At 38.4% G+C, this 26,959-nt stretch overlaps 1 protein-coding gene across 14 annotated transcripts in view; it reads left to right on the top strand.

Annotated features, from left to right (window-relative positions):
- The window catches only part of PEX5L (peroxisomal biogenesis factor 5 like), a 241,980-nt gene that overhangs the window by 29,411 nt on the left and 185,610 nt on the right, over window positions 1–26,959 (top strand). The gene's annotated exons all lie outside the window — the stretch shown is intronic.

Raw genomic sequence — 26,959 nt, 5'->3', positions numbered from 1 at the left:
CCACACTAGGAGTCCCTACTGGGGCACTGCCTAATCGAGCTGCGAGAAGAGGACTACTGTCCTCCAGACTCCAGAATGGTAGATCCACTGACAGCTTGCACTGTGTGCCTGGAAAAGCCGCAGACATGCAATGCCAGCCTGTGAAAGCAGCCAGGAGGGAGGCTGTACCCTGCAAAGCCACAGGGGTGGAGCTGCCCAAAACCACGGGAACCCACCTCTTGCATCAGCATGACCTGGATGTGAGACCTGGAGTCAAAGGAGATCATTTTGGAGCTTTAAAATTTGACTGCCCCACTGGATTTTGGACTTGCATGGGTCCTGTTACCCGTTCGTTTTGGCCAGTTTCTCCCATTTGGAACAGCTGTATTTACCCAATACCTGTACCCCCATTGTATCTAGGAAGTAACTAGCTTGCTTTCTATTTTACAGGCTCATAGGCAGAAAGGACTTGCCTTGTCTCAGATGAGACTTTGGACTGTGGACTTTTGGGTTAATGCCGAAATGAGTTAAGACTTTGGGGTATTGTTGGGAAGGCATGATTGATTTGATCTGATTGATTTTGAAATGTAAGGACATGAGATTTTTAGGAGTAAGGGGTGGAATCGTATGGTTTGGCTGTGTCCCCACCCAAATCTCATCTTTAATTGTATCTCCCAGAATTCCCACATGTTGTGGGAGGGACCCAAGGGGAGGTAAGTGAATCTTGAGGGCCTGTCTTTCCCATGCTAGTCTCATGATAGTGAATAAGTCTCACAAGATCTGAAGGGTTTATCAGGGGTTTCCGCTTTTGCTTCTTCCTCATTTTCTCTTGCTGCCAAAATGTAAGAAGTGCCTTTCACCTCCTGCCATGATTTTGAGGCCTCCCCAGCCATGTGGAACTGTAGGTCCAATTAAACCTCTTTTTCTTCCCAGTCTTGGGTATGCCACTGCCCAGCAGTGTCAAAACGGACTAATTCACAAGAAATGGTACCAAAAGATGGGATTGGAGAGTTTGTTTCCACTTTCTATATTCTCCTTCCCAGAAGCCCTCACCTCAACTTCCTCTAACTTTGACACTTTTAAAAGCAATAGGTATGTTTCTCTTCCACAGATTAGGGTGTGCTTTTGACCTTGTATAATGTCAATGACCTTATATATTTTTTGTAAAAATGAAAAAAAAATAATGAAAACTTTTAAAACTTTTTTTTTCACTACTTCAGGGATTAGGTTTTGTGTACATTTATAGCAAAAAAAATAATAATAAAGAAGGAAGTGGCGAAGGGAATATAAGGCCTGGTATGAATGGAAATAAGGTTGCTGAAGCAATTAATTAACAATGTCATAGACTGCCATCAAGGGAGGGATCAGCAATTAATACAGAGAGGTTTTGTTAATTACTCAAGGTTGAAGCACAGAACAACCTGAGAACAATGAATACATTAAAGAGTACTATTCCAGTGGAAAACTGGGTACTTTTTTGTGTCACTTGATTGAGGTAGTATTGAAAAAGTTTGAATTAATAACAATAGCAGGAGACTTCTAAAAGATAAACATGGTAAAAATGGATGTTCTAATGCCTAGATATTTCATGTCTAATAATGATATATCACATTTGTAAAAATTTCTATTTTGAAAAGATAAGAAAGAAAGGCATACCTTTTTGAGAAATAAATTAAGACTCACCTAGCTGAGCACAATGGCTCATGCCTGTAATCTCAACAGTTTGAGAGGCCAAGGATCACTTGAGACCAGGAGTTTGAGACTAGCCTGGGAAATACAGTGAGACCTTGGTCTCTACAAAAATAATTTTTTTTTTTTTGAGACAGAGTCTCGCTCTGTCGCCCAGGCTGGAGTGCAGTGGCGCTATCTCTGCTCACTGCAAGCTCCACCTCCCGTGTTCACACCATTCTCCTGCCTCAGCGTCCCGAGTAGCTCAGACTACAGGCGCCCACCACCATGCCTGGCCAATTTTTTTGTGTTTTTAGTAGAGACAGGGTTTCACCATGTTAGCCAGAATGGTCTCGATCTCTTGACCTCGTGATCCACCCGCCTTGGCCTCACGAAGTGCTGGGATTACAGGCGTGAGCCACCACGCCCAGCCTACAAAAATATTTTTTTAATTAGCCAGGTGTGTTGGCATATGATTGTAGTCATAGCTACTCAGGAGGCTGAGGTGGGAGGATCCCTTGAGCACAGGATTTTGAGGCTACAGTAAGATATGATTGTACCACTGTACTTCAGCCTGGGTGACAGGAAAACCCTATCTCTAAAAACAAACAAAAAAAAATAAAAACTTTTTAAAATCCCCGCTCATCAATCCATTTACACTTAGCTATTTTCAGAAGTAGCAATTTGATGCAGAGTAATTCATTATGATTTTACCATTCCGTATGCTATTTTTAATACATTATTTCTCTTTCAGTCAGAAAGATTACACATTCCTGCTATATGTTATAAGAAAAAAAGTTACTCTCTTATGCTTAAACATTAACACAATAATAGAAAGTGTTCACGAGCTAAGTTTTCAATTTTTAAATATATTTAAAACCTCTGACATATTTTGTGAAGTTACTTTAATGTATTCTAGACACCACATTTACAAAAATACTAAGCAAAATTTTACCTAAGATCAATATGAGATGCTCAATTTTTAACTAATTCTAGTATGCATTTCACATTTCTTTTATTCAAATTCTTATAGCATGATTCAGATTAAACAGTTGGTGAAGGCAACTAGATATTCTGCTTGGTCTAAATTAGTGATGTTCAAATTTGACTGCATAAATAGTCCCATGGGGCTGCTTTTGGAAGTGCAGCTTCCTGGGCCCCTCCCAGAGGTTTAACTTCAGTATATCTTGGGTGGAGCCCAGGGATGTCATTTTTTAACATAAATCCGGGTAGCTCTGATTTATATAGCAAGACTTTGAACTTCGGCAAAAAACAAAACAAAACAAAACAAAAACAATAAATTAGATAGTTCATACCAAGTTTCTATTTCATTTTGTTTGGTATGGGTTTGGGTCCCACTGTAGAACTGGAACCATTTCATTCATATTAGTATGCCCAGCTGTTTGGACATTTTTTCAGTACTTTGTGAAACACATATAGTTTCCATTAGCTTGACCAAAAAGATTTATCTGCAGTTTGAGTCTCCTTTCCATCTTATTTCCAAACTTTACCAAATGCTTACCATAAAATAAATATTCTTCACTAATAACTAAAAACAAATTTGGCTTGCCTATTTTGAATATGAAACTGTGAAAATATAATCTGATGTGTCTGACTAAATTTGACCATCAATGTAGCTAGCATCAGTGGTCTCTAAACATTACGTTTGAGGACCATAGAAATCTACTGGTAAGATATTCAGGATTTAATTTCCCAGCCAGGGGTTTTTTTAGTCAGTTCAACGGCAAAAAATAAATTTGTAGGATGACCTTTCTAAACTCTTACTATTCAAATAACATTGCTTCCAAATTGAAAAGGCTGTTCCAAATATCACTCTGTCTTCATAACTGAAATTGTCACACCTCTTGGGCGGGGGGACAAACATAAGACGTCCTGTATAAATAGTCAATGAAGATATTGATTGGGATAAAAGCAGTGGTCAGTAGAAGCTGCTAGAGCATTTCTTCACATGGCTCATTTGTAAGTTCAAATCACTATTGTGTGAATTCCCTTCACTTATTTGTCCAACAGATGTCTACTGGATATTAAGAAATTTATTTATTCTTTAATATCACCTTAGTAGCCAACGGAAGCCAAAAGTAGCCTTTTAAGGAGCATTAAGATGTCATTATTATTTAGTTGCCTTTTGTTCTTATTGAAAAATTTAGATTAAACTCATGACACTTTCTTATAAAATAATAAAAATATTTTCCAAATTGAAGAACGGTTGTATCATACTTGAGCTTGAATCAAAGATCTGAGGACTCTGAAGCATTTAGATATGTGAGATTAAACCATTTTTATTTTATATTAAATTGTTGAAATAAGAAAGACCTATATATATCATTTTCCAGTTTACATATGTTTGTGGCATTTTATTTAAAAAATTAAAATATCACTAATACAAATTTGGTCAAATAAATATATTTTGGCTCTCTGCAATTTGGTATTAAAATCTATGGCAGGTTATTTTTTTCTTTTTTTTTCTTTTTTTTAGTGCCCAGTCTGAGCCCACATAAATTAGACAGTCTTTTACAAAACCTAATATGCTCCTCACTCAGAAACACATAAGCATGGAGCATAATACAGATTGTTGTAATAATGGATTAAATCCCAGATGTTTTCCATGTTTCACATGATAGGATAGAATGAGCTAAGCTCCCTTTAGAGACTGAGTTTTCTGAATCACCTTGTTTACAGAGCTGCTAAGACTTCTGGCTTTATTTAGAAAAGTCTCAATAGGGTATTTGAAGTCAGGCTCTAAATCCTCACCTGATTTGTGTCAGTTTACATCTCCGTTAATAACACAGAATGAATTCGATTTTTATCGTTCTTTTCTCTGTTTGAAAAGAGAAACTCCTTGGTCTCATCTATAATCGTTTCCTACCCTGTGAAATGAGAATTTATGTGAAGATAAAATACGCTCCAAATTTAACAAGCTATGAAAATGTAAGATAATTTAGATCTTTATGGGACAATTTGTGTTATTGCAATTGTTTCCTGATTTAGCAAGATTATTTACTGTACTTCCTAACTTTTTCTGCAAGGAAGAGGTTTATTATATTTGCCATTATCTCAGTCTTCTCTTGTGAAATACTATTTGTGAGGTAGTCTTCACACAATTCTAGGGCAGCTGAATTTCTAGCTATAGTTAAAACTGAAGAAAATATATTTCTTGATGGAAAAATTAATATGCCCCCCAAAAGGATTATATTGATAGAAAAATACAGGTTTGGACAAATATTTACAACACATTTGACAAAGAGTAAATGGATATACTATACAAAAAGTTCTCACAAATTGCCCATAAACAGACCCAAAACACAATTTACAACTGGGGATAATATACAAATGGGAATTTTCTAGGAGAGAACCTTCAAATGATCAATACATATAACAAGATGATCAAATTAACTAATAGTTAGGGAAATGCAATGAAAGATATCACTTTACACTCATCAGACTTAAAAATATTTTTAAAGTAATAATACCTGTTTCTGTCAAGAATAGGAGAAAAGGCATAACTAAGAAAGGCTTGTGTGGCAGTCAGCAAGCTTGTAACCTGGCAACATCGTAAAACAATTTTTAAATAAAAAATACACTCTTCTAATCAGCAATCTCATCCCTAGGAATCTATCACATGGCACTAAAGCAACCAGAACTTAAGGAAATATGCACAAAGATACTAAATGCAGCATTGTTCAGTTAGGAGAAAAAGGAAACCAAAGGAATGCTCGTATTTTTTAAAAAGTTGAGAAGTTCATGGTACATTCATACCTAGAATAACATGCAGGCATTAAAAAGAATGAAATAGAGCTATGAAGATGGATTTAGGTGGTTGTTCTTGAAGTATAGTTGAGAGATGAAAAACAAGTACAAAGAAGTAAGTGCAATATCATACTACTTGTAAAATAACGACAACCCCAGCTAACGTCTATATGTATATGGTTAAATATATTTACCTACAAATATGTGTGTTTGGCTATGACTATGGATAATATAGATAAAATAAACATTATCTTGTTGATTATTCATGGATGGATAAGTGTGTATTTGATGATGTAAATGTACTGGGAAGCAGGAAGGGTAGGTAAGCAAAAAAGAAAAGACTAAACTATAAAAATAGCACATATGATATTACCCCAGTAAAGCATTTATGTCAAGTTGCATATGTGTATAAAACATATGCATAAAATAGTTTATTAAAAATGATTAAAACTTAATGACTTCAAATAAAATTCACAGGTTATTACTTGAAAGCACAATGAAAAATAAATGTAGTGAACACTGTTTATCAACCCTCTGTCCAAAAGATGTGTACATAGGTTTAGCTACAAATATATGGTTTGAAGCGTTCCTCTATGAGCAATGACAACAAAAAAAAAATTTGTTTTCTTTTAACATGTGCACAAAGAGTTTATTTACCAAGTTCGTTTTTATCAGAGAGACGGTGGGTGTATAAGTCAGAGTTCTCTAGAGAAACAGAACTAATATGATATATATATATATCTTCTATATATCCATATATATTATATATTTTATTTTATATATATATATGAATATAAAGGGGAGTTTATTAAGTATTAACTCACATGATCATAAGGTCCCACAATTGGCCATCTGCAAGCTGAGGAGCAAGGAGAGCCAGTGCAAGTCCCAAAACAGAAGAACTTGGAGTCCGATGTTCAAGGGCAGGAAGCATCCAGCACGGGAGAAAGATGTAGTTTGAAGGCTAGGCCAGTCTAGTCTTTTCACATTTTCCTGCCTGCTTTGTATTCTAGCCAAGCTGGCAGCTGATTAGATGGTGCCCACCCAGATTAAGGGTGGGTCTGCCTTTCCCAGCCCACTGACTCAAATGTTAATCTCCTTTGGCAACACCCTCATAGACACACCCAGGATCAATACTTTGCATCCTTCAATTCAATCCAGTTGATACTCAATATTAACCATCACAAGTCCACCCCTTGTCAACTTGAACCCACACATATCTCCTGAGATCACACATAATCTTCAATAAAGACAATAATAAGGTCATAATTACACCTAACATAATACAACTATCCTCGTACAACCAGAAATGCACCAATCCCCAACCTAAATATTACTACATAAAGTTAACAATACTTAAATGCTGGTATGAAATCAATAAATCTGATGTCACGTGATAAGGGAAAAAGGAAATAAAATCAACATATCTTCTTAGTACAAGTATATACATGCACAAACATGTTTTTAACAAAAGAAGGAGGAAATATGTCAATTACAGTCCTTGTTTCTGCAGCTAGTCACGTGGTCATAGCTGGTATTGATGACTACCTCCTTCTGCTACCCATTCTGTATTCCCTTTGATTCACCTAGCACCTCAGCAGGTCGTGGTTTTTTTTCCTGGAGGAGTGACCCAAACCTTCATTCCTAAAGGGTCTGGGCCATGTGTAGTCCTGCCTGGATTGGGCTGTTGTAGTTTCCCATTGACCTTAATCACAGGGCATGATAATACTAAGAGACACCCTAATGGATCTCCTGTATTCCATGCATACTCTTCCTTACCTCCATTGTGGAGTAGTAGACTGATTTCATCTTGATAGCCTGGTCAGTCACCCCAGCCAACACTGTAACTCCATTCTTAGCCTGTTGACTTAAAGGTAGGAGGAGCTCAAAGTGTCCAGGTGGCAATCCTAACTTCCAGTTTAATGAAATTGTGTGTCTCCTGGTGGCAGCATTCCTCCCTCTGGAACTAAGACCTCTAGGCCAGAAGAACGTAATGTCATGGAAACAAGAAGCAAAAATCTTGCTAGTGGATCACTAGAGGTGATGGTGAATGGTGCCACTTCCACTTCTATCCCTTGATTCCTGGACCCGTGACTCCTGGCTGTGGGAAAAACTGTACCATATATTGGACGCTGATTCAGAGCATACATGGCCTTCTGGAGAACTTTGCCCCAGGCTTGCAAAGTATTGTCACCTAGTTGGCGTTGTAATTGTGCCTTCATAATTATGCCTTCAAAAAGCCACTCCACAATTCTGTCAATCCGGCTGCTTCAGGATGATGGGGAACATGATAAGACCAGTGAGTTCCATGAGCATGAGCCCACTGCCACACTTCTTTAGCCATAAAGCGAGTGACTTGGTCAGAGGCAATGCTGTGTGGAATACCATGATGGTGGATAAGGCATTCCGTGATTCCATGGATGGTAGTCTTGGCAGAAGCATTGCATGCAGAATAGGCAAACCCATATCCAGAGTAAGTGTCTATTCCAGTGGGGACAAACCTCTGCCCTTTCTATGATGGAAGAGGTCCAATACAGTCAATCTGCCACCAGGTAGCTGGCTGATCACCCCGAGGAATGGTGCCATATTGAGAGCTCAGTGTTGGCCTCTGCTGCTGGCAAATTGGGCACTCAGCAGTGGCTGTAGCCAGGTCAGTCTTGGTGAGTAGAAGTCCATGTTGCTGAGCCCATGTGTAACTCCATCTCTGCCATTATGTCCACTTTGTTCATGGGACCATTGGGCGATGACAGGGGTGGCTGGGGGAAGAGGCTGAGTGGTGTCCATAGAACAGGTCATCCTATCCACTTGATTATTAACATCCTCCTCTGCTGAGGTCACCCATTGGTGAGCACTCACATGGGATACAAATTTCTTCACAGTTTTTGACCATTCAGAGAGGTCCATCCACATACCTTTTCCCCAAATTTCTTTGTCACCAATTTTCCAATCATGCTTCTTCCAAATGCCTGACCATCCAGCCAAACCATTGGCTACAGCCCATGAATCAGTATATAATCAAGCATCTGGCCATTTCTCCTTCCATGTAAAGTGCACAACCAGGTGCATTGCTTGAAGTTCTGCCCACTGGGAAGACTTCCTTTCACTGCTGTCTTTCAGAGATGTCCTAAAAAGAGGCTGTAGTGCTGCAGCTGTCCACTTTTGGGTGGTGCCTGCATATCCTGCAGAACCGTCTGTGAACCAGACCCTAGTCTTCTCTTCCTCTGTCAACTGACCATAGGGAACTCCCCCTGAGGCCATTGGTGCAGGCTGGAAGAGAGAAGGCAGGGTGGAAGGAGTGGAGACCATGGGCATTTGAGTCACTTCTTCATGTAACTTATTTATGCCTTCAGGACCTGTTCCAGCCTGATCATGTATATACCACTTTCATTTGATGATGGAATGCTGCTGTCCATGGCCCACTTTATCGCTAGATGGATCAGAAAGCGCCCAGTTCATGATAGGCAGTTCAGGTCACATAGTGACTTGATGAACCATTGTCAAACGTTCAGTTTCCACCAAAGCCCAGTAACAGACCAAGAGCTGTCTCTCAAAAGGAGAGTAGTTATCTGCAGAAGATGGCAGGGCCTTGCTCCAAAATCCTAGAGGCCTCCTCTGTGATTCACCTATAGAGGTCTGCCGAAGGCTCCAAATAGCATCCCTATCTGCCACTGACACCTAAAACACCATTGGATCTGCTGGGTCACATGGCCCAAGTGGCAGAGCAACTTGCACGGCAGCCTGGACCTGTTGCAAAGCCTTTTCCTGTTCTGGACCCCACTCCAAACTGGCAGACTTTCGGGTTACTTAATCAATGGGCCTGAGTAACACACCCAAATGAGGAATGTGTTGCCTCCAAAATCCAGATAGGCCCACTAAGCATTGTGCCTCTTTCTTGGTTGTAGGAGGGGCCAAATGCAGCAATTTATCCTTTACCTTAGAAGGAATACCTCGACAGGCCCCACACCACTGGACCCCTAGAAATTTTACTGAGGTAGAAGGTCCCTGAATTTTAGTCAGATTTATTTCCCATCCTGTGGCACACAAATGTTTCACCAATAACTCCAGTGTGTTTTCTACTTCTTACTCACTGAATCCAATCAGCATAATGTCATCAATGTAATGGACCAGTGTGATATCTTCTGGAAGCGAAAAGTGATCAATGTCTCTTTGAATAAGATTATGACACAAAGCCAGAGAGTTGATATACCCCTGAGGTAGGACAATAAAGGTATATTGCTTGTCTTGCCAGCTGAAGACAAATTGCTTCTGGTGGGCCTTATGGACAGGAATGGAGAAAAAGGCATTTGCCAAGTCAGTGGCTGCATACCAGGTACCAGGAGATGTGTTAATTTGCTCCAGCAATGAAATCACATCTGGTAAAGCACTTGCAATTGGAGTCACCACTTGGTTAAGCTTATAATAATCCACTGTCATTCTCTAAGATCTATCCATTTACTGCACAGGCCAAATGGGAGAGTTGAATGGGGATGTGGTGGGAATTACCACCCCTGCATCTTTCAAGTCCTCGATGGTGGCACTAATCTCTGCAACCCCTCCAGGGATGTGATATTGTTTTTGATTTGCTATTTTTCTAGGTAGAGGCAGCTCTAATGGCTTCCATTTGACCTTTCCCACCATAATAGCCCTCACCTTACCAATCAGGGAGCCAATGTGGGGGTTCTGCCAGCTAAGCATGTCTATGCCAATTATGCATTCTGGCACTAGGGAAATGACCACAAGATGAGTCAGGGAACCCACTGGACCCACTGTAAGTCAAAACTCCATTAATTACCTGACCTCCATAAGCCCCTACTTTAACTGGAGGACCACAATGCTGTTTTGGGTCCCCTGGAATCAACATCAGCTCAGAGCCAGTGTCCAGTAGTCCCTGAAATGTCTGATCACTTCCCTTTCCCCAGTGCACAGTTACCCTGATAAAAGGCTGGAGGTCTCCTTGGGGAAGGATAGGAGAAAGATTAACAGCATAAATTGTTGGTGATGTAGTGGGATCCTTCCTCAGGGGGACCCAGCCTCCCCTTCATTCAAGGGGTCTGGGTCTGTAAACTGGCTCAAGTCTGAAAATTGATTGAGGAGCTATGATTCTCTGTTTTTATAATTCAAATTAGTCTTTTGTCCATTCAACCTGGAATTTTTCTGCTTATATAAATTAAGTAGGAATGCGGTAGACTTCCTATCAATTTCACTTCTAGGAACACCATGATTAATTAGCCAATGACAGAGCTCTACATGAGTCAGACTATTCTGATTGCTGCTTTGCCTCTGCTGTCCATTACAGTAGCTACGCCCACCTTGCCTTTGTTGGTTGAAAGCTGCCACTTGGCTCCTGCCACCTTGCAATCCAATTATTCCCATTGTATTTAAATTTTGTAGTTGAGTGACTGCAGTTCCCATGGTTAGATGTGACATACAGAGAAGAGCAATTACAGGGCTCTTCAAAGATGCAGGTGCTGCCCTCACAAATCTATTTCACAAGGCATTGGTCAAGGGTGTATCTTCTGGACCCTCCTAGCTGGGATGAGTAGGCCTAAAGTGACTTATCCATTCTACCATCCCAATCTCCCTAAGCTTTTGGATCCCTTCCTCTACATTAAGCCAAGGGAAATCAGGCATTTCCAGCTCACTCGCAGTGGGCCATCTTTTAATCCATATTTCAGCTAACCAAGCAAATAAACTATTAGAACCCTTTTTAACTCCCTAAGCTGCAACATTAAATGCAGAGTCCCTACTTAGTGGGCCCAAATCAATAAAATCAGCCTGATCCAACTCTATGTTCCTTCCCCCATTATCCCACACCCTTAATATCCATTCCCATGCCTGCTCTCCAGATTTCTGCATATATAAATTAGAAAACTCAAGCAGCTCTTTTCGAGTGTAGCACACCTCCTCACCCTCACCTCTAGGGCCCTGCTGGGGCATTAGCCTTGTTATAGGTCTAGAAGCTAACAGGGGTGTTGGGGGTGGCTCCTGATGAGAATCAACATTATCTTGCTTGGCAACTACCTCAAGGGAGGCCACCACTCTTACCTCAGGCAGCAGAGTTTATCTCCTCAGACAAAGGTGGAAAGGCTGATGGCAGTGTGGGTTGGAAAGGGGATGTTGCCACTTTACGGGAATGGGGAAGCTGTTTCTTCTGGCAAAAAAGGTTCATCAGAATTTACACACTCAGTGTCCCCAGCTTCATCAGGGTCCTCCCACACGTCCCCATTCCAAGTTGCAGGGTCCCATTCTTTTCCAATCAATGCGCTCACTTTAACAGTAGACACCTGGAGAGGCTGTGCATGCACCTTTCGTTGCAGGTCAGCCACTTGCTTCATAAGAGCTTGTGTCTGTTTTTTTACAATTTCAGCTCATTCTCTACAGGAGATAAGACTCTCAGTCAGGGCAATCTTAGTAGATATGAGTCTTATTTGCTTCTGAAGCCGGGAGTTAGAATCCCTGAGTTCATCAGTTTCTTTCATCACTTTGTCTACTGAACTAAGGAGCAACAAACAAGCTTCATCATGTTCCTTGGTTCTCCACATATGGTCAGAGGTATTATGTATAGAGTCACTAAACAGCTTGCCTCTCACAAGCAGTGAATCAGGAGTGTCAAATGCATTTATTTTGCATAACTCTCTAAACATTTCACACTAAGGACTATCAGTGTTCTCCATATTATTAGAAGTAGAGTCCTTGGCATTTTGGGGTCTAATCATATTAAGCAGCCAACTCCAGAAACCCCAAAACCAACCAAAGAACCCCATCCTTAATATTCTGTTCCTCTAGAACCACTCCTGTTACCAAGATCTGTATTTGTCAGAGTTCCCCAGAGGGAGAGAACTATATACATATATAAAAAATATATATACTATATATATACACACTATGTAGATAGTGTGTGTATATATACACACTATATATAGTATATAGTGTATATACATATATAGTATATATAGTATGTATATAGTGTGTGTATATATAGTGTATATATATAGTATATATAGTGTGTGTATATATATACTATATATATACTCTCTATGCTATATATATAACTACATATATATATATAGGGGAGTTTATTAAGTATTAACTCACACTAACTACATATATATAGATGGGAGTTTATTAAGTATTAACTCACACAATCAAAAGGTTTCACAATAGGCCATCTGGAAGCTGAGGAGCAAGGAGAGCCAGTCCGAGTCCCAAAACAGAAGAACTTGGAGTCCGATGTCCAAGGACAGGAAGCATCCAGCACGGGAGAAAGATGTAGGCTAGGGGCTAAGCCAGTATAGTCTTTTCACATTTTTCTGCCTGCTTATATTCTAGTCACGCTGGCAGCTGATTAGATGATGCCCACCCAGATAAAGAGTGGGTCTGCCTTTCCCAGCCCACTGACTCACATGTTAATCTCCTTTGGCAACACCCTCACAGACACACCCAGGATCAATACTTTGCATCCTTCGATCAAGTTGACACTCAGTATTAACCATCACATTTATGTACATGGTTTTTCCAGCCAGTGGATGATGACTCCCTTCACTTGCCCAGCCCCTCTGGCCCTATCCAGGGGTGTCAAGTGTGCCCTAAACACTTTACTCTGGGATAAGGGGTGTCTGAGGGGTTGAGGGACAAAAGATAGCCCAGGAGGAGGAGCTGGATAAAAATGGAGGGGTAACAAAGAGGCCATGGAAAAATATTTGGAGCACTTTGCTAGAAGATTTGAGTGAGTGGATTCCCACAACCAGAAGACATCACACACTAGAAGCTGGCAAAGGTTAATCTGAAGGTCAGAATTCACATTCATTAACTTTTAATGTATAAAAAACCTTCCAAAAATGTAGCAGCTTAAACTTCAAACATTTGTTATTTCCCATTTATCTATGGGATGGCTGGGTGATTCTTCTGGTCTGGAATGGCTCGGCTTGTGATAGCTTTCCTTGGGTGGCAGTTGGCAAGCTGGACAACAGCAAACTGATCTAAAAACCTGAATGTCCACCATTAGAGATAAACTATGTAACACTACACAGACATTGAAAGTGACATTGTGGAACTACACATATTTACAGGAAGAAGGCTCATAATATATTAAATTTTAAAAGCAATTATAAAATGATATATAGTAAGCCTTTGGTATCCATGGGTTCTGCATCTGTAGACTTAAGCAACTGCAGGTTGAAAATATTTGAAAAAGAAAGTGTGTGCATTGAACATGTACAGACTTATTTTCCTGTGTTTCTGTATTATTTAGGGAATAGTGACTATTATTAGATATAAGCAATCTAGAGATGATTTAAAGTATATGGGAAAGCCGGATGCGGTGGCTCATGCCTGTAATTCCAGCACTTTGGGAGGTCGAGGCGGGCAGATCACTTGAGCTCAGGAGTTAGAGACTAGCCTGGCGAACATAGTGAAACACCATCTCTACTAAAAATACAAAAAAAATTAGCCGGGTGTGGTGGTGTGTGCCTGTAATCCCAGCTACTCAGGAGGCTGAGGCAGGAGAATCACTTGAACATGGGAGGTGGAGGCTGCAGTGAGCTGAGATCATGCCACTGCACTCCAACCTGGGTGACAGAGTGAGACCCCATCTTGAAAAATAAAAATAAAATAAAATAAATATATGGGAGGTTGTGCATAGGTTATATGCAAATACTACAGCATTTTGTATAAGGTACTTGGGCATCCTCAGGTTTTGGTATCTATGAGGAGTCCTGGAACCAATTTTCCATGGATACCAAGGGACAATTGTACACACTATGATCCCTTTCTAAGAAAATCATTTCTGTATTTATCAAAAACTCAATAGGAAAATGGGCAAAAGATATGAGTAGGCATTTTGCCAAAGAACTTGTGCAAATTGATGAAAAACTTATTAATTACGTGCTCAAATTGACTAGTAATCAGATAAATGGAAATCAAAGAAACAGACAATTATATAAACTCTGGAAGAGCATACACCAAAATGTGAACAGTGAACTCTTGCTGGTGGTTATATTAGTTTTTCTTTCTTTCCTTCTTTTTCTTATCTATATTTTCTATAGTGAACATGTTACTCTTGTAATAACGGGGGGGAGTTTTTTTTTAAGTGTTATCCACACCCAGTAAAAATGATTATACAATCTTTTAACTAAATCTTATTTTCATCACCTAAAAACTAAGTTATAGACTGTGCGTTCTGCAAGGAAAAATACATACATATGTACATACATACATACATACATAGACACATACATACATACATACATGCAAAGAACCAGGTCAAAAATCAAATACTTTATGAAGTCTTCTTCATAAAGTCTTATGAATTCCCTCTGAAGTCTTCTTGTATTATGATTTTATCTCACATGCTTCTTAACCATCTTGAAATTCGTGTGCGCTGCTCCACATAATTTAATACTTGTTCTTTAATTGCTCCATTTCTGGAAATTTTATTTATTCCACAAATAATTATTGAGGACTTACATGCTACACACAGTACTTTTTTCTGAGTGGGAGCCATCTGTTACGTTTCCACTGCATCTCTGTTTTACCTACTCCAGCTCTGGCATAAAATTCAGTGTTTAAAAAACACACAGTCATTGATTTTTCTCATCTGCATTACAAACATTTGTGAGCACCTACCATGCATCATAATTATGCTAACCGCTAAAATGAAGCTTTGAAGAGATTTTTTAATCCTGATAAAATAAAAAGAGCACTGTAGATTAGATTAGCACCAACTCTGTCATTAATAAGTTGTGTGACGTTAAGTAAATCATTCAACCTTTCTTGAGCCTCCTTTTTTCTCTTATCTGTAACATGGGGGAATGAAAGTCAGACTAAATATTCTTAAGATTCCTTTTGGCTTTCAAAATTAAATAATATACCTGGCATGACCAAATCTTAAGCAATCTAACAATTTGGACACTTCTATGAGGCTGGGAAGAATATATTGCATATAGTGTCACATCAGGGTATATCTGCTTTCTGTGTCTCTACTCTGTCTTCATTTTGATGATTAGACTATTTGTTCTCTGGGGTCTGATTCATGCCTATGACTCACAGACCCTCACACATAAGTAGGGCTCAGGAGATAACATCAGTATTGTCTCCTTCTATGTTTTAAGAACAAAAACAAATGTCTAATATGCTACTTTTATAAATAAGCGCCATGGGAATTAAATATCTAGGAACTAGGAATGAGCCTAGATTTGATTTTTTTGTATCAAATAAATAACTAAAGCTAAGAAAATATACTTTGTTATGTCTACCTATGATTTATCTTCTTGAAAAGTTAACAGAAAAGGAACATCATGTCTTCTAAAGAGAAAAGAGAGACAGGGAGAAAGAGAATGGATGGTATAGTGTTAGAAATTATTTAGACAGAAGAAGAGCTATGCCTGTTTATACATAGAGGGAAAGAACTGAGGGAGAGTCAGAGATGGAAGACGCATGTGAATGAATAGCTGGTGAAGCAAAGTGGCAAAATCAATGTGAGGGCAATGAGATCTGAACCACAGGTAAAGAGCTTCATCCTGCCAGACAATGCTTTCTCCTAAAAAATAGACAAAAAGAAAGAACCAGAGGGTAAACACCCAGAGATGAGTAGAGGGGGAAAAAAAAGGATGCTGAGACCTTGGGCAGCTCAGGAAAGCAGCCAGGTCATCCTGAAGAAGAAAGAGCTCTGGTTGGCAAAAGGGGTCAATCTTTGTAGCAGTGATGATAAGAAATTGCCCAGCAGCTGTGAGGATCCAGCTATTATAAAACAGCATGAGTCTGCAGTAGATATAGTCACCTTGGCCTTGCGACTATGCTTGTAAAACCTGATGAGCTGGAGTGACAGTGCATCCAGGATGCAATAAGCACATACTTGAAATTATTTGTGGCCTGCCCCAGTGCTATACAATCAACAGATACCAGAGGTCAAATGGGCAAGCATCCGGGAGCTCCAAGTCAGGTTAAAGACAGTAAGTCGGTTTGGTGCTATCTCCGTGGAGGTGAGGAAGCAGGCTGCCAGGAGTCTCCAGAGTTTTCAGCTACACTCAGGAATACATGTAGAATGCAAGGAGTGTGGTGGTTCCTAAGTGTTAGGCATGTCCCCAGATTTTTTCAGGGATAATGGGCTGCACATCCTGTGTCCATTGGGGGTATTATAGAGTTGTTTATACATGGGGATAGGAATTATATAAACAGGTTTTAATCATAGCTTCAAAGCAGACTAGCCAAGTGAGCTAATGGAAATATACCCAGCACATTTACATTTCAGTTGCCTCATCAATAAAATAAGAATAATAAGAGTACTTACCTCAGGAGTCTGTGAAAATTAAACAAAATAATGTAAGTAAAATGCTGAGCAATGTTCCTGGGACAAGGTAAGCACTCAAGGAATTATTGGTACTAACAACCAACAGTAAAGATATCAGAATGGGCTGGGGGCAGTGTTTCATGTCTGCAACTCCAGCACTTGGGGAGGCAGGGGTGGGAGGATCACCTGAGGCCAGGAGTTCAAGACCAGCCTGGGAAACATATTGAGACCTTATCTCTACAAAATATTTTTTTAAAAAATAGTTTGGTGTGGTGCTGTGCACTTGTAGTCTCAGCTAGTTGGGAGGCTGAGGCAGAAGGATCACATGAACCTGGGAGGTTGAGCCTACAGTGAACATTGATCATGTCACTGCACTCTAGCCTGGGCAACAGAGCAAGACCCTATCACTGAAAGAAAAAAAAAAGATATCAGAATGACATACCGTGAGGAGAAATAGGAGCTAATGAAAGGAATTTCATGTTACTTTAAAATATGGGGGAAATATGTAAGAAAGACATGGGCCAAGATCTTTTCTCTAGTGCAAATGATTAAAGTACCTATGTGAAATTTCTAAATGCGACCAAAGAAACATGCTTTTATAAGCATAGATGCATAGAATAGTGGGACTGGAAGACACTAGAAATAATCTCATCTGATCCATTCACCTTACATATGAGGAAATGAAGGTTTAAATGTATTAAGTAACTGGCACAAGATCCAATGGTACTGACTGGCCATGGCAGCACTGAAATAAAGATGTACTGACTTTTATCAACTAAGCACTATCATCTGTACCTATAAGTAATTTTCAGCTCAACTATGCAACATTTAATGCTATAATTTAATAAGTGCCCTCCATGTGAATGTTGGGAAATATGTGGTAAGGAGTTTATCGGAAAGTGGCAAAACCTGAATGTGATTTTATGGTATAAAATAACATATTCTTAACTTCAGGGCACCTCTATATTGATACACAAATCACACTTTTATCATTTGAATTGATATATGCTGTGGAAACAGCCAAACTTGATTTTTTATGTAATTCTTTTAGGTGACTACTCTTTTGATAAACAATATTCATGGAATAATTGTGTCAAAGTTGATTGAATAAGCCACTATTCTCAATCAATCATTTTCATAATCTAAGTGCATAAGGCCAAGTTTATGGGAAATAAAAATTGCTTTATATCATTACAAATGATATAAATTACAATTGCTTTATATCATTACATTGAGATATAAATATGTCAATTATGTCATTAAGGAAAATAATACTTTTAAGCATCTCATAACATAGCTAGTATGGTAGGAATATAATGTATAAATGGATAAATTTTGTAAACTAGTTATCTGACATTTCTGTTTTTATTTTTCTACTAAAAATAAAAGAGGAAATCCCATATCTATCACATATGTCATGAGAGGTTTTTAAGTAGAAGGTTGAATATGTAAACTAAGCATGGTGAGCATTTCTGAAAAAGTTATACCTAAATATAGGAACTCTGTTCAAAACAGTCAATCATTAGTAGAGATAGTCTCATTTTAAAGTATTATCATGCTCTCCTAGATCGTGGTGATACTTCTTAATTCTACGAAGCATCTAAACTTTCCTAGATATGCTGAAGAATACATATAAGATGCCAGACCATGGTCCCTGTCTGCCTATAGTGGGTAGAACCAGACAACTTAGCTCTGTTCCATGGCCTCAGAATTATCCCTACCACGGATTTCTGTTTCCTTGAAGGTCTATGCAAGATATTGCTAATGAAGTCAGTCAATTCCAAGACCAATGCTAGAATCAGCATTCCAAGTCCATCCCCCATTCTTTGTGAGACAATATGTATACTTGCATTTTGAAGTTTTATCTTGATAATGGCATTTTACTGATTTTTCAGAAAATAATCTCCAAAAATGGCACTTGAATATATATCCAAGTTTATTTCTTTACAATGCCCAACTTGCCAAAACCTGGCAATTCCATTCTTTGTGCTGCTACCTTCTTTCAGGGTTGTTACCTATGATTTAACTCCTAACTACATTTGTGTCTCCACAAATGTATCTTCAGTGAATTCTACATCTTGTTGTCTGCTTAGTTTTTCTAAAGCAGGTGTTTACATACACACTTAAAGACAACTGAGCACCAGCAAGTTCCTTCTTGAGAAACGTATTTACACATCCAATTTCAACTACTTTTATTTGTTGCATTAGAATGGAGACTTGGGTTTGTTGCCACCATTTCAGTTGGTTATTATGAAATATTAAGTTTAACAGATGTGGGGGAAGTGTACATAACAGCTGGTAGAAGACACTAAATCCTCCTGGGTATTTGGGTTAATGGTATATTTTTATCAGGGTTAGCTTCTTGCTTTAATTAACAATGGACCTCTTCTTTCTTTTTTTATTTTATTTATTTATTTATTTATTTATTTATTTATTGAGGCAGATTTTCACTCTGTCGCCCAGTGGCATGATCTCAGTTCACTGCAACCTCTGCCTCCCGGGTTCAAGCGATTCTCCTGCCTCAGCCTCCCGAGTAGCTGGGATTACAGGCACTTATGACCACACCCGGCTAATTTTTTGTATTTTTAGTAGAGATGGGGTTTTATCATGTTGGCCAGGCTGGTCACAAACTCCTGACCTTAGGTGATCCACCCACCTTGGCCTCCTAAAGTGCTGGGATTACAGGCGTGAGCCACCATGCCCAGCCCTCTTTTTTAATCACTACAAAATTACTAATGAACTGACTTTCCAATAGCTAAAAAATGAAATCATAGGATTAACAATGTGAAAGATCGTCTGGTCTTCAGGTACCTCAAAGGTACAAGCCTTTGAATATGGGAAAAACTGAGCTCAAAAGAGTTGAAATGGCAAGCCCTATGAGAAAAAAGTGATCAAAACAAGGCTAGAACCCTGATTTGACACAAACCAAAGTTCTTCTCTACCCACTTTCCAAATCCACCATCTGCAGTCATTCTTTTTCTGTATCCTTAATATTTTACATCATCCCTGAAATATACTATAAAAAATCCAGTCTGTGTTAAAAGAAGATTTAACAAAGAGGTGGACTTCAAAATGGTTGGCAGTGAAGGTTCACTGCTGGGGTTCTGCTCCAGTTACTTAGCAGCACCTGAGTTTGGTTCAGTTGGCTTTTTGTAAGGTTGGGGGTAGGAGGATTGGTCAGGCCAGAACTAGAACTCTTCATGCTGCTTGATTTTAAGTTCACAAGAAAGTGAACCATCAAGGGAATGTTCTGATGTATCCATGAACTGCAGCTAAGCCATTCAGAGTTTGCTTAAAATAAAGCTTTTCTGGATTTTCTTAATACAGAATTCTAAGAGTTGACACAGCAAGACTGCTTCTCACCAGGTTCTATTTTTAAATCCCAGCACCCCCAAAACTTCAATATTGAGTTTCTGAGCCATCTTTAGTGCGTTTTTCTAACTTGCTAGAAAGATTGTTTAGTTGTTTACACATTGTTAATTCAACCTTTTAAATGGGGAGAGGGAGAGAGGGAGGGAGGGAAGAGAAAGGGAGGAATGAAGGAGGAAGGAAGGAAGAAAGGAAGGAAGGAAGGGAGGGAAATGAAGGGAGGGAGGGAGGAAAAGATATCAGCTAATAATATTTAATGAGTGCTATTAAATATGTCAAGCAGTGTTCTAAGCAGCTGACATGTATTAATTAATTTTTTTTTCTTAACAACTGAAGGAGCTGGGTTTTGTTATTATTCCCAAATGAGGAAACTTAGGCACAGAAAGGTAAACAATTTGCTCAAAGCCATACAACTGGTACATAGCAGACCTGGCTTTGAACCAAGCAACATGACCTCAGAGACTGACCTCTTACTTATTCCATTACATGTCTCAAGTTCTTGAGTTGAAAGTTTGTCTAAAAAAGTAATAAAGAGCTGTTGACCTTTTGATATTTTTCTTTTTATTTAATCAAATATGTATTTTTGCATTATGTTATTCGAACTTTCAATGAAATGGAAATATGCTGAGGGCAGGGGGCTGAGCTGAAAAGAATCTAACCTTTAGTGTCAGAAAATCTTAAGTTCTAATTTTGCTCTGCCATTTATAGGTTGTGTGACCTTTCAAACGATCCTGAAAAAAAATTACTAAATGTTGGCCGGGCGCGGTGGCTCACGCCTGTAATCCCAGCACTTTGGGAGGCCAAGACGGGCGGATCACGAGGTCAGGAGATAGAGACTATCCTGGCTAACACGGTGAAACCCCGTCTCTACTAAAAATACAAAAAATTAGCCGGGCGTGGTGGCGGGCGCCTGTAGTCCCAGCTACTCGGGAGGCTGAGGCAGGAGAATGGCGTGAACCCGGGAGGCGGAGCTTGCGGTGAGCCGAGATCGCGCCACTGCACTCCAGCCTGGGTGACAGAGCGAGACTCCCTCTCAAAAAAAAAAAAAAAAAAAAAAATTACTAAATGGTTAGGACTTTCCATTTCCTCATTTGGAAACCAAGGAAAATACAAACAAACTCAAGGAATTATTCTAAGAATGAAATGTGATAAAATATGCAAACTTTTCATCCTAGCACATAGCAAAGCATCCTCCCCAGGGTAAATTTACTATAACAAACCACAATGTTTAGTGGATCATTCTCATTTTATTATTATTGCATAAACATAAAGTTATATATATATATATATTTTAAATTACATGAGATTGTTCCTATCAATGTCAGTTATTATTATCATTATTATCTTATTAGGTATCAATATGTACATATACTACGTTGGGATCAATGTGCAGAGAGAGCCAGATCAATACCGTTAATATTCCTCCACTAACCAATTACTTCCTGCAGAAACATCCACATCCAGCCACATCTTACCAGTATAGCCCCTGAATGCCAAGCAGTTGAAGGACTCTGCATGGGCCACCAGGAAGCCTCACTCACTGCTTGCACACTGTAAACCTCTTTAGCCCGAGTGCGGCCTCCACAAGAGTGGACTGGAAGCCTGGGTCAGAAGCAGTTTCCTCGTGCGCACCCAAAATGGGACTGAGGGGAGGCAGAAAGGCCCCCAGAGAGGTATTAATCAAGATCCATCTGGACCATTCAAATGGCACATTATTCTGAAGGTACTGGGCAGAGAGAGGCTTCAGGTGTGAAGCTAACAGGACCCAAACTAGGAAAATAAGGGGAAAAGGGGGTTTTAAGCTAAGGTGGACTGGCTTTGCTTGGATTCTCAAGGGTTTTTATATGGCTCCAGCAGCCTCAGCTCAGGACAGGGAAGAAGTGATTAAAGGTGGTGATATCCAGCAGCTACTCAAAGCTGGTTTGAACCAGTCCTGGCAAGCAGAAGAGTGACCTTTTGACCTATCTGGTCACCCCTAAATTTGAATATAGAGCTGAGGTGTAGATCAATAGCATATACAGAATGAGCTTTGGCTTCCAGCCTGGAAAAGCCTGCATTTTGGTTATTGTTCAGACCTGGAATTGTTCTGAAGCTTTTGCATATGCCATTCTTCTATTTCTGTCTTAGTGACCGAGATGACCTTTCATGCTTGAATTGGATGAAGCCAAAGCTACCCTGGCCATGTACAGAGTTATGTTGTTATGCTAATCATGAAAAACAATAATAACAGAGACCATTATATATTAGGCACTGTTCTAGAGGCCTTGGAATATATTATTTCCTGTAATCCTTGTAAGATGAAATGGCCTAGGAGAAAAGAAGTCAGGAGCTGTGCCCAAATCCAAAAGGTGTCTCAATACTCAGCCCTTGCTTTGATTGTACAAGAGCAGAAGTGCATAGTCTACGTTGATAATAACCAAAAAGCTATTTTTTTCCATCCAAAGGTAAAAAAAGAGCACGGGAACACAAGGTTAGCAGACTTGCATTTGATTTTGTGTTCAAGCACTTTCTAGATAGACAAAGCACTTTTTCTCTCTTAAAATTCATTTCCTCAGTATAAATGGGGAGAAAAATACCTACCTTCCTGGAATCGCCTATGAAGATTAAAGGATATAACTCAAATATAAGTATTTGTAAGCACTAAAGCTAGTATCATTAAATACAATTCAGATATATACTAAGCAACAGAGAGCTATTTATCATAAGGCTAATGAGATAATTTTTGGCATAGTCTATTATGGAATTTTCCATGAGAATCTAAAAAAGACAAATTGACTTTATAATTATTAGAGAAAGGAAAAACAAAAATTAATTTTCCAAAGGCTAATTTTTCTACCAACTCAGAAAAAGTTTACATTATTTCTAGAATAGCAGTGGTTCAAACATTTGTCTCCATGCGTCTATATCCTTCTGAAAATTATTGAATACCCCAAAGATCTTTTGTTTATGTGGCTTATATCTGTTCACGCTTACTGGATTAGAAAAAAATTAAGCAAAGTTTTAACTATTTACTTATACAATCATTGAAAAATAGCAGTAACCAACTCATTACATGTATACACACATACACAATTTTTTTAAAAACTTCATTTCCAAAAAAAAATTTTAGTGAGATGTATGACATTGTTTTATATTTTTGCAAATCTCTTTAATAAAAGAGCTTAATAGAAGAAAATTAGACTATCATATCTGCTTCTGCATTTAATCTTTTGCAGTAGATTTTTCCATTGAAATATAGGAATAAAAAAAATCTTTACACAAATATACAGTTGAGAAAGGAAATCGTATTTTAAAAGCCTTTTTAAATAACTGTGGATATTCTTTCATACTACACCAAAACTTGAGAAATGTAATTTCTTGAGGTTTAGTAGCACTGTGAAATCTGAAGTCATATTAATAAATTTGGTACACTCTTTATGTTAACATCCATTGGTCTCCCTTACACTTTGAATGGATCTTTAACTCATGCATGATTTTGGTAACATTCTAGTGTTGGTCATTTGAAAAATATTGGTTCACTGAGATTGGTTCATTGGTTCATATCTTCCAATGTTGTCATACTTCATTATACAATATCAAAAAACACTTCATTCATGTCACTACTGATCTCATCAGAAACGTCTTTAACTATTGAGAAGCTATTGAGCTCACAGTGGCTGATTCAAGTTTCTAAATCTCTAATTTTCATTCATCTATTTAATTTTGGCAACAAACATTATTGGTTGTTTTCTTTGAAATTAATGACTTCTTTCATTAATTTTCAGGAAAAAAGAAAAAAAGCCAGGGTCCCAAGTTTGAGTAATCATAGCTTGTCATACTTTTAAGTAAAAATGGTGGAGTTTTTTTTAAGTGGCTAATTTATTTCCCAACTAGTATTGTTTGGTGCCAGTATCTTGATTCATGCCAAGGTGCTAACAAGATTGTTTTTATACCATCAGTGCAAATTTCAACACAATGAAAATGACAAACAATTTCTTAGTACTATTAAGAAAATAGTTCTCACTTCACAGTTCCCTTCAAAGTTTCTGAAGAACCATCAGGGTTCTGCAGACAATACTTATGTGCTATTGTCTCTTAAGTGTTAAGTAGATTCTTTATTCTGATGGTTTCTAGGATTTCTTGAATTTTCTTAATAAAAATTATTAATTTAAGGTAGATTTGGATGTGTAAGGTGGATATATGTGTATTAATATGAAAAGGTAGTCGCAATTTATTTTTTATTAAAAAGTAGTATTTATACTATAGTCATGTTCATGTCATTAAATACATATGTATATATTGGTATACTTACATATAAATATGTATATTTATGCATGCATACATGTATCTATGTATAAAAATAGATTGAAAGTAGTTATACAACTTTTTTGTAATAGCATCAGCAAGAAACAGTAAGGGAGATTAAGAGTAGTGAAAATAATATTTTCCTTTTTGTTATAAAGCAAATGCTTTTATTCAAAAAAACTTACTAAATACCTACAATGTAATAGGTACACTTGTATACATGATTAAGATTTTTAGTGGTTTTTTTTAAAAGAAAAATGATACTTTGATCATTTAAAAAGGCTTTTCTCTATTTAGGACATGGTACCATCCATGGCATTTTAGATGCTCCTTACTAAAGCCTTGCTTCATCTCTCCTTAAAATCCCCACACTCACCTACCCAGGACAATTTTATAAGAATGCAGTTTGTAAAAGACTTTTCGTTAAACCCTGTGTCTACTTCTAAAGATGCACTTATAGTCCTTAAGTATCAGTCATTCTTCTGTCTCTCAGTATATTACCAATACATTTTTCACTGTGGGATATTAATCAGAGATTGCAAGAAGAGTCATCAAAGGAACTCTTACAGTGCTCTCAAGTTAATACTAGCTTCATGCTCCTCATCACTGAAATTTTTCTGGTCTGCATTGTTCAAGAAATCTTTCCCATTGTCTCTGTAAAATTTTCTGGCAATTTCCCTAATTGAAGCACCTAAGATTTGGGATTTGATTTCTAAAGAAGAAAGACAGGAAAGATGCAAAGATTAAAAGTGCAAATGGAAGAAGATCGTCAGTAGTCATCTATATTCACTGGGATACTGTGATCTTGTAGACATAAGTCCATTCTGTAACTCTGAGGTGTGCTTACATGTAATTGAACATACTTCAATATTTTGCATGTAACACGTTATTATTTTTAAATATTAAGAACAAAAGTGTCTCACTAAGAAGCAAGAATCAAACTTTGAGTAAGCGGATAACATTGAGTGAGAGGATTACAAACTTTGAATAAGAGGATAAACATTATGATCAAGTGTCCCTTACTCTACCTTACCTTGCCAATCTTTCCCCATTATAAGGTTTTGTCCTCTGATACGTTAAAAACAAGTGAAATGCAAGGGAATCAACTAGTTCTTTAAACACACTTTAAATATGCCACCTCAATTCTCTTAAAAACACATTAGGTTTGATGATATCCTCAAATACATTTAAGTAAATATATTTCTTTTCAATATTTTATACTCCCTGGGCAGTTAGTTCTTAGATTTGCATAAATAGTTCCTGTTGTTGCTGTCCAAAAAAACACAATAAATCCTGTTAGATGCTCTACAGCACTGAACAATTTCACATTGTATCTTTTTAAACAGACTCCCTTTGTTTTTTTTTTCAAATAGCATGAAACAACAAGAACAGTTTAGATACTGTTTACAGAATGGAAAAATATGCATCCTTCACTAAGCACAAAATTTTTTCCTGTTAGCCCAAGTTTTTTTCTCTCTTTCTCTCATTATTTGTTTCATTGAATTTTTTCAAAAATAATTTTTCATATTACTAAGTTGAGTGCCTAGGATGTGTCTGTTGTAGGCCCATACTCTGCTAATTTAATTCTTGACTACAGAAAAATATAGATGCTTTTATCACCTAGAGAAGCTGGTGTTGAAAAAGTAATCTCATGATACACAAAGTGATGAATGAAGCATGTCATTATAAAATTGGTGTGGGGTCAGCTATCTGTCAACCAGCGTCTAAACAGGCTCCAGGCTGTCATGCACTGACCACTTCAATGGCTCTCAACTTCTCTCTTTGACTCCAGCCTTCCTTCCTCCAATCCGTTCCTCACCCTTTAGCCAGAGTGGGCTTCTTACAGCACATATCTGATAACGTCACTCTCTTGCTTAAAACCCCGCAATGGCTCCACATTGCTCTTAACATAAAGAACAAACACCTTAATGTGATTTTCAAGACTTGGCCTTCCTCTCCAGCCTCGTCTGGATCAACCCCCACAACCCTGGGCAACTCTGTTCCAGCCACCCCATCCTCCTCATTAGCAGTAATAATTTTTATATCAAGCAAGGCATTAGTTGGTGTTTGTGATAAAGTGATGGATATGATTTGGATTTGGCTGTGCATCCTTGAGACTCTGCTGTTTTAATTTTTTTTTTTTTTTTTGAGAAGGAGTCTTATTCTGTCACCCAGACTAGAGTACAGTGGTACAATCTCGGCTCACTGCAACCTCCGCCTCCAGGCTTCAAGCAATTTTCCTGCTTCAGCCTCCTGAGTAGCTGGGATTACAGGTGCTCGCCACTACACCCAGCTAATTTTTGTATTTTTAGTAGAGACAGGGTTTCACCATGTTGGCCAGGGTGGTCTTGAACTCCTGACCTCAGCCTCCCAAAGTGCTGGGATTACAGGTGTGAGCCACCGCTCCTGGCCAACTCTGCTGTTTTAATTTCTTAACTGATTGTCACATGTCCAGTGGATGAACCACCTGTCTGTGGCCCCAGATCTTTCTTGTTCCTACATATCTTGTAGCTCAGAAGAGTATAGAATTCTTTATTCATGAAGGATATTCATGAAGAATATGGTAGGCACGCCTACCCTCTAGAAATTGTCACATCTTATCTA

This window comes from Homo sapiens, chromosome 3 (genome assembly GCF_000001405.40).
Source record: "Homo sapiens chromosome 3, GRCh38.p14 Primary Assembly".
Classification (NCBI taxonomy): Eukaryota; Metazoa; Chordata; class Mammalia; order Primates; family Hominidae; genus Homo; species Homo sapiens.
This window is presented reverse-complemented; position numbering and strand designations above follow the sequence as displayed.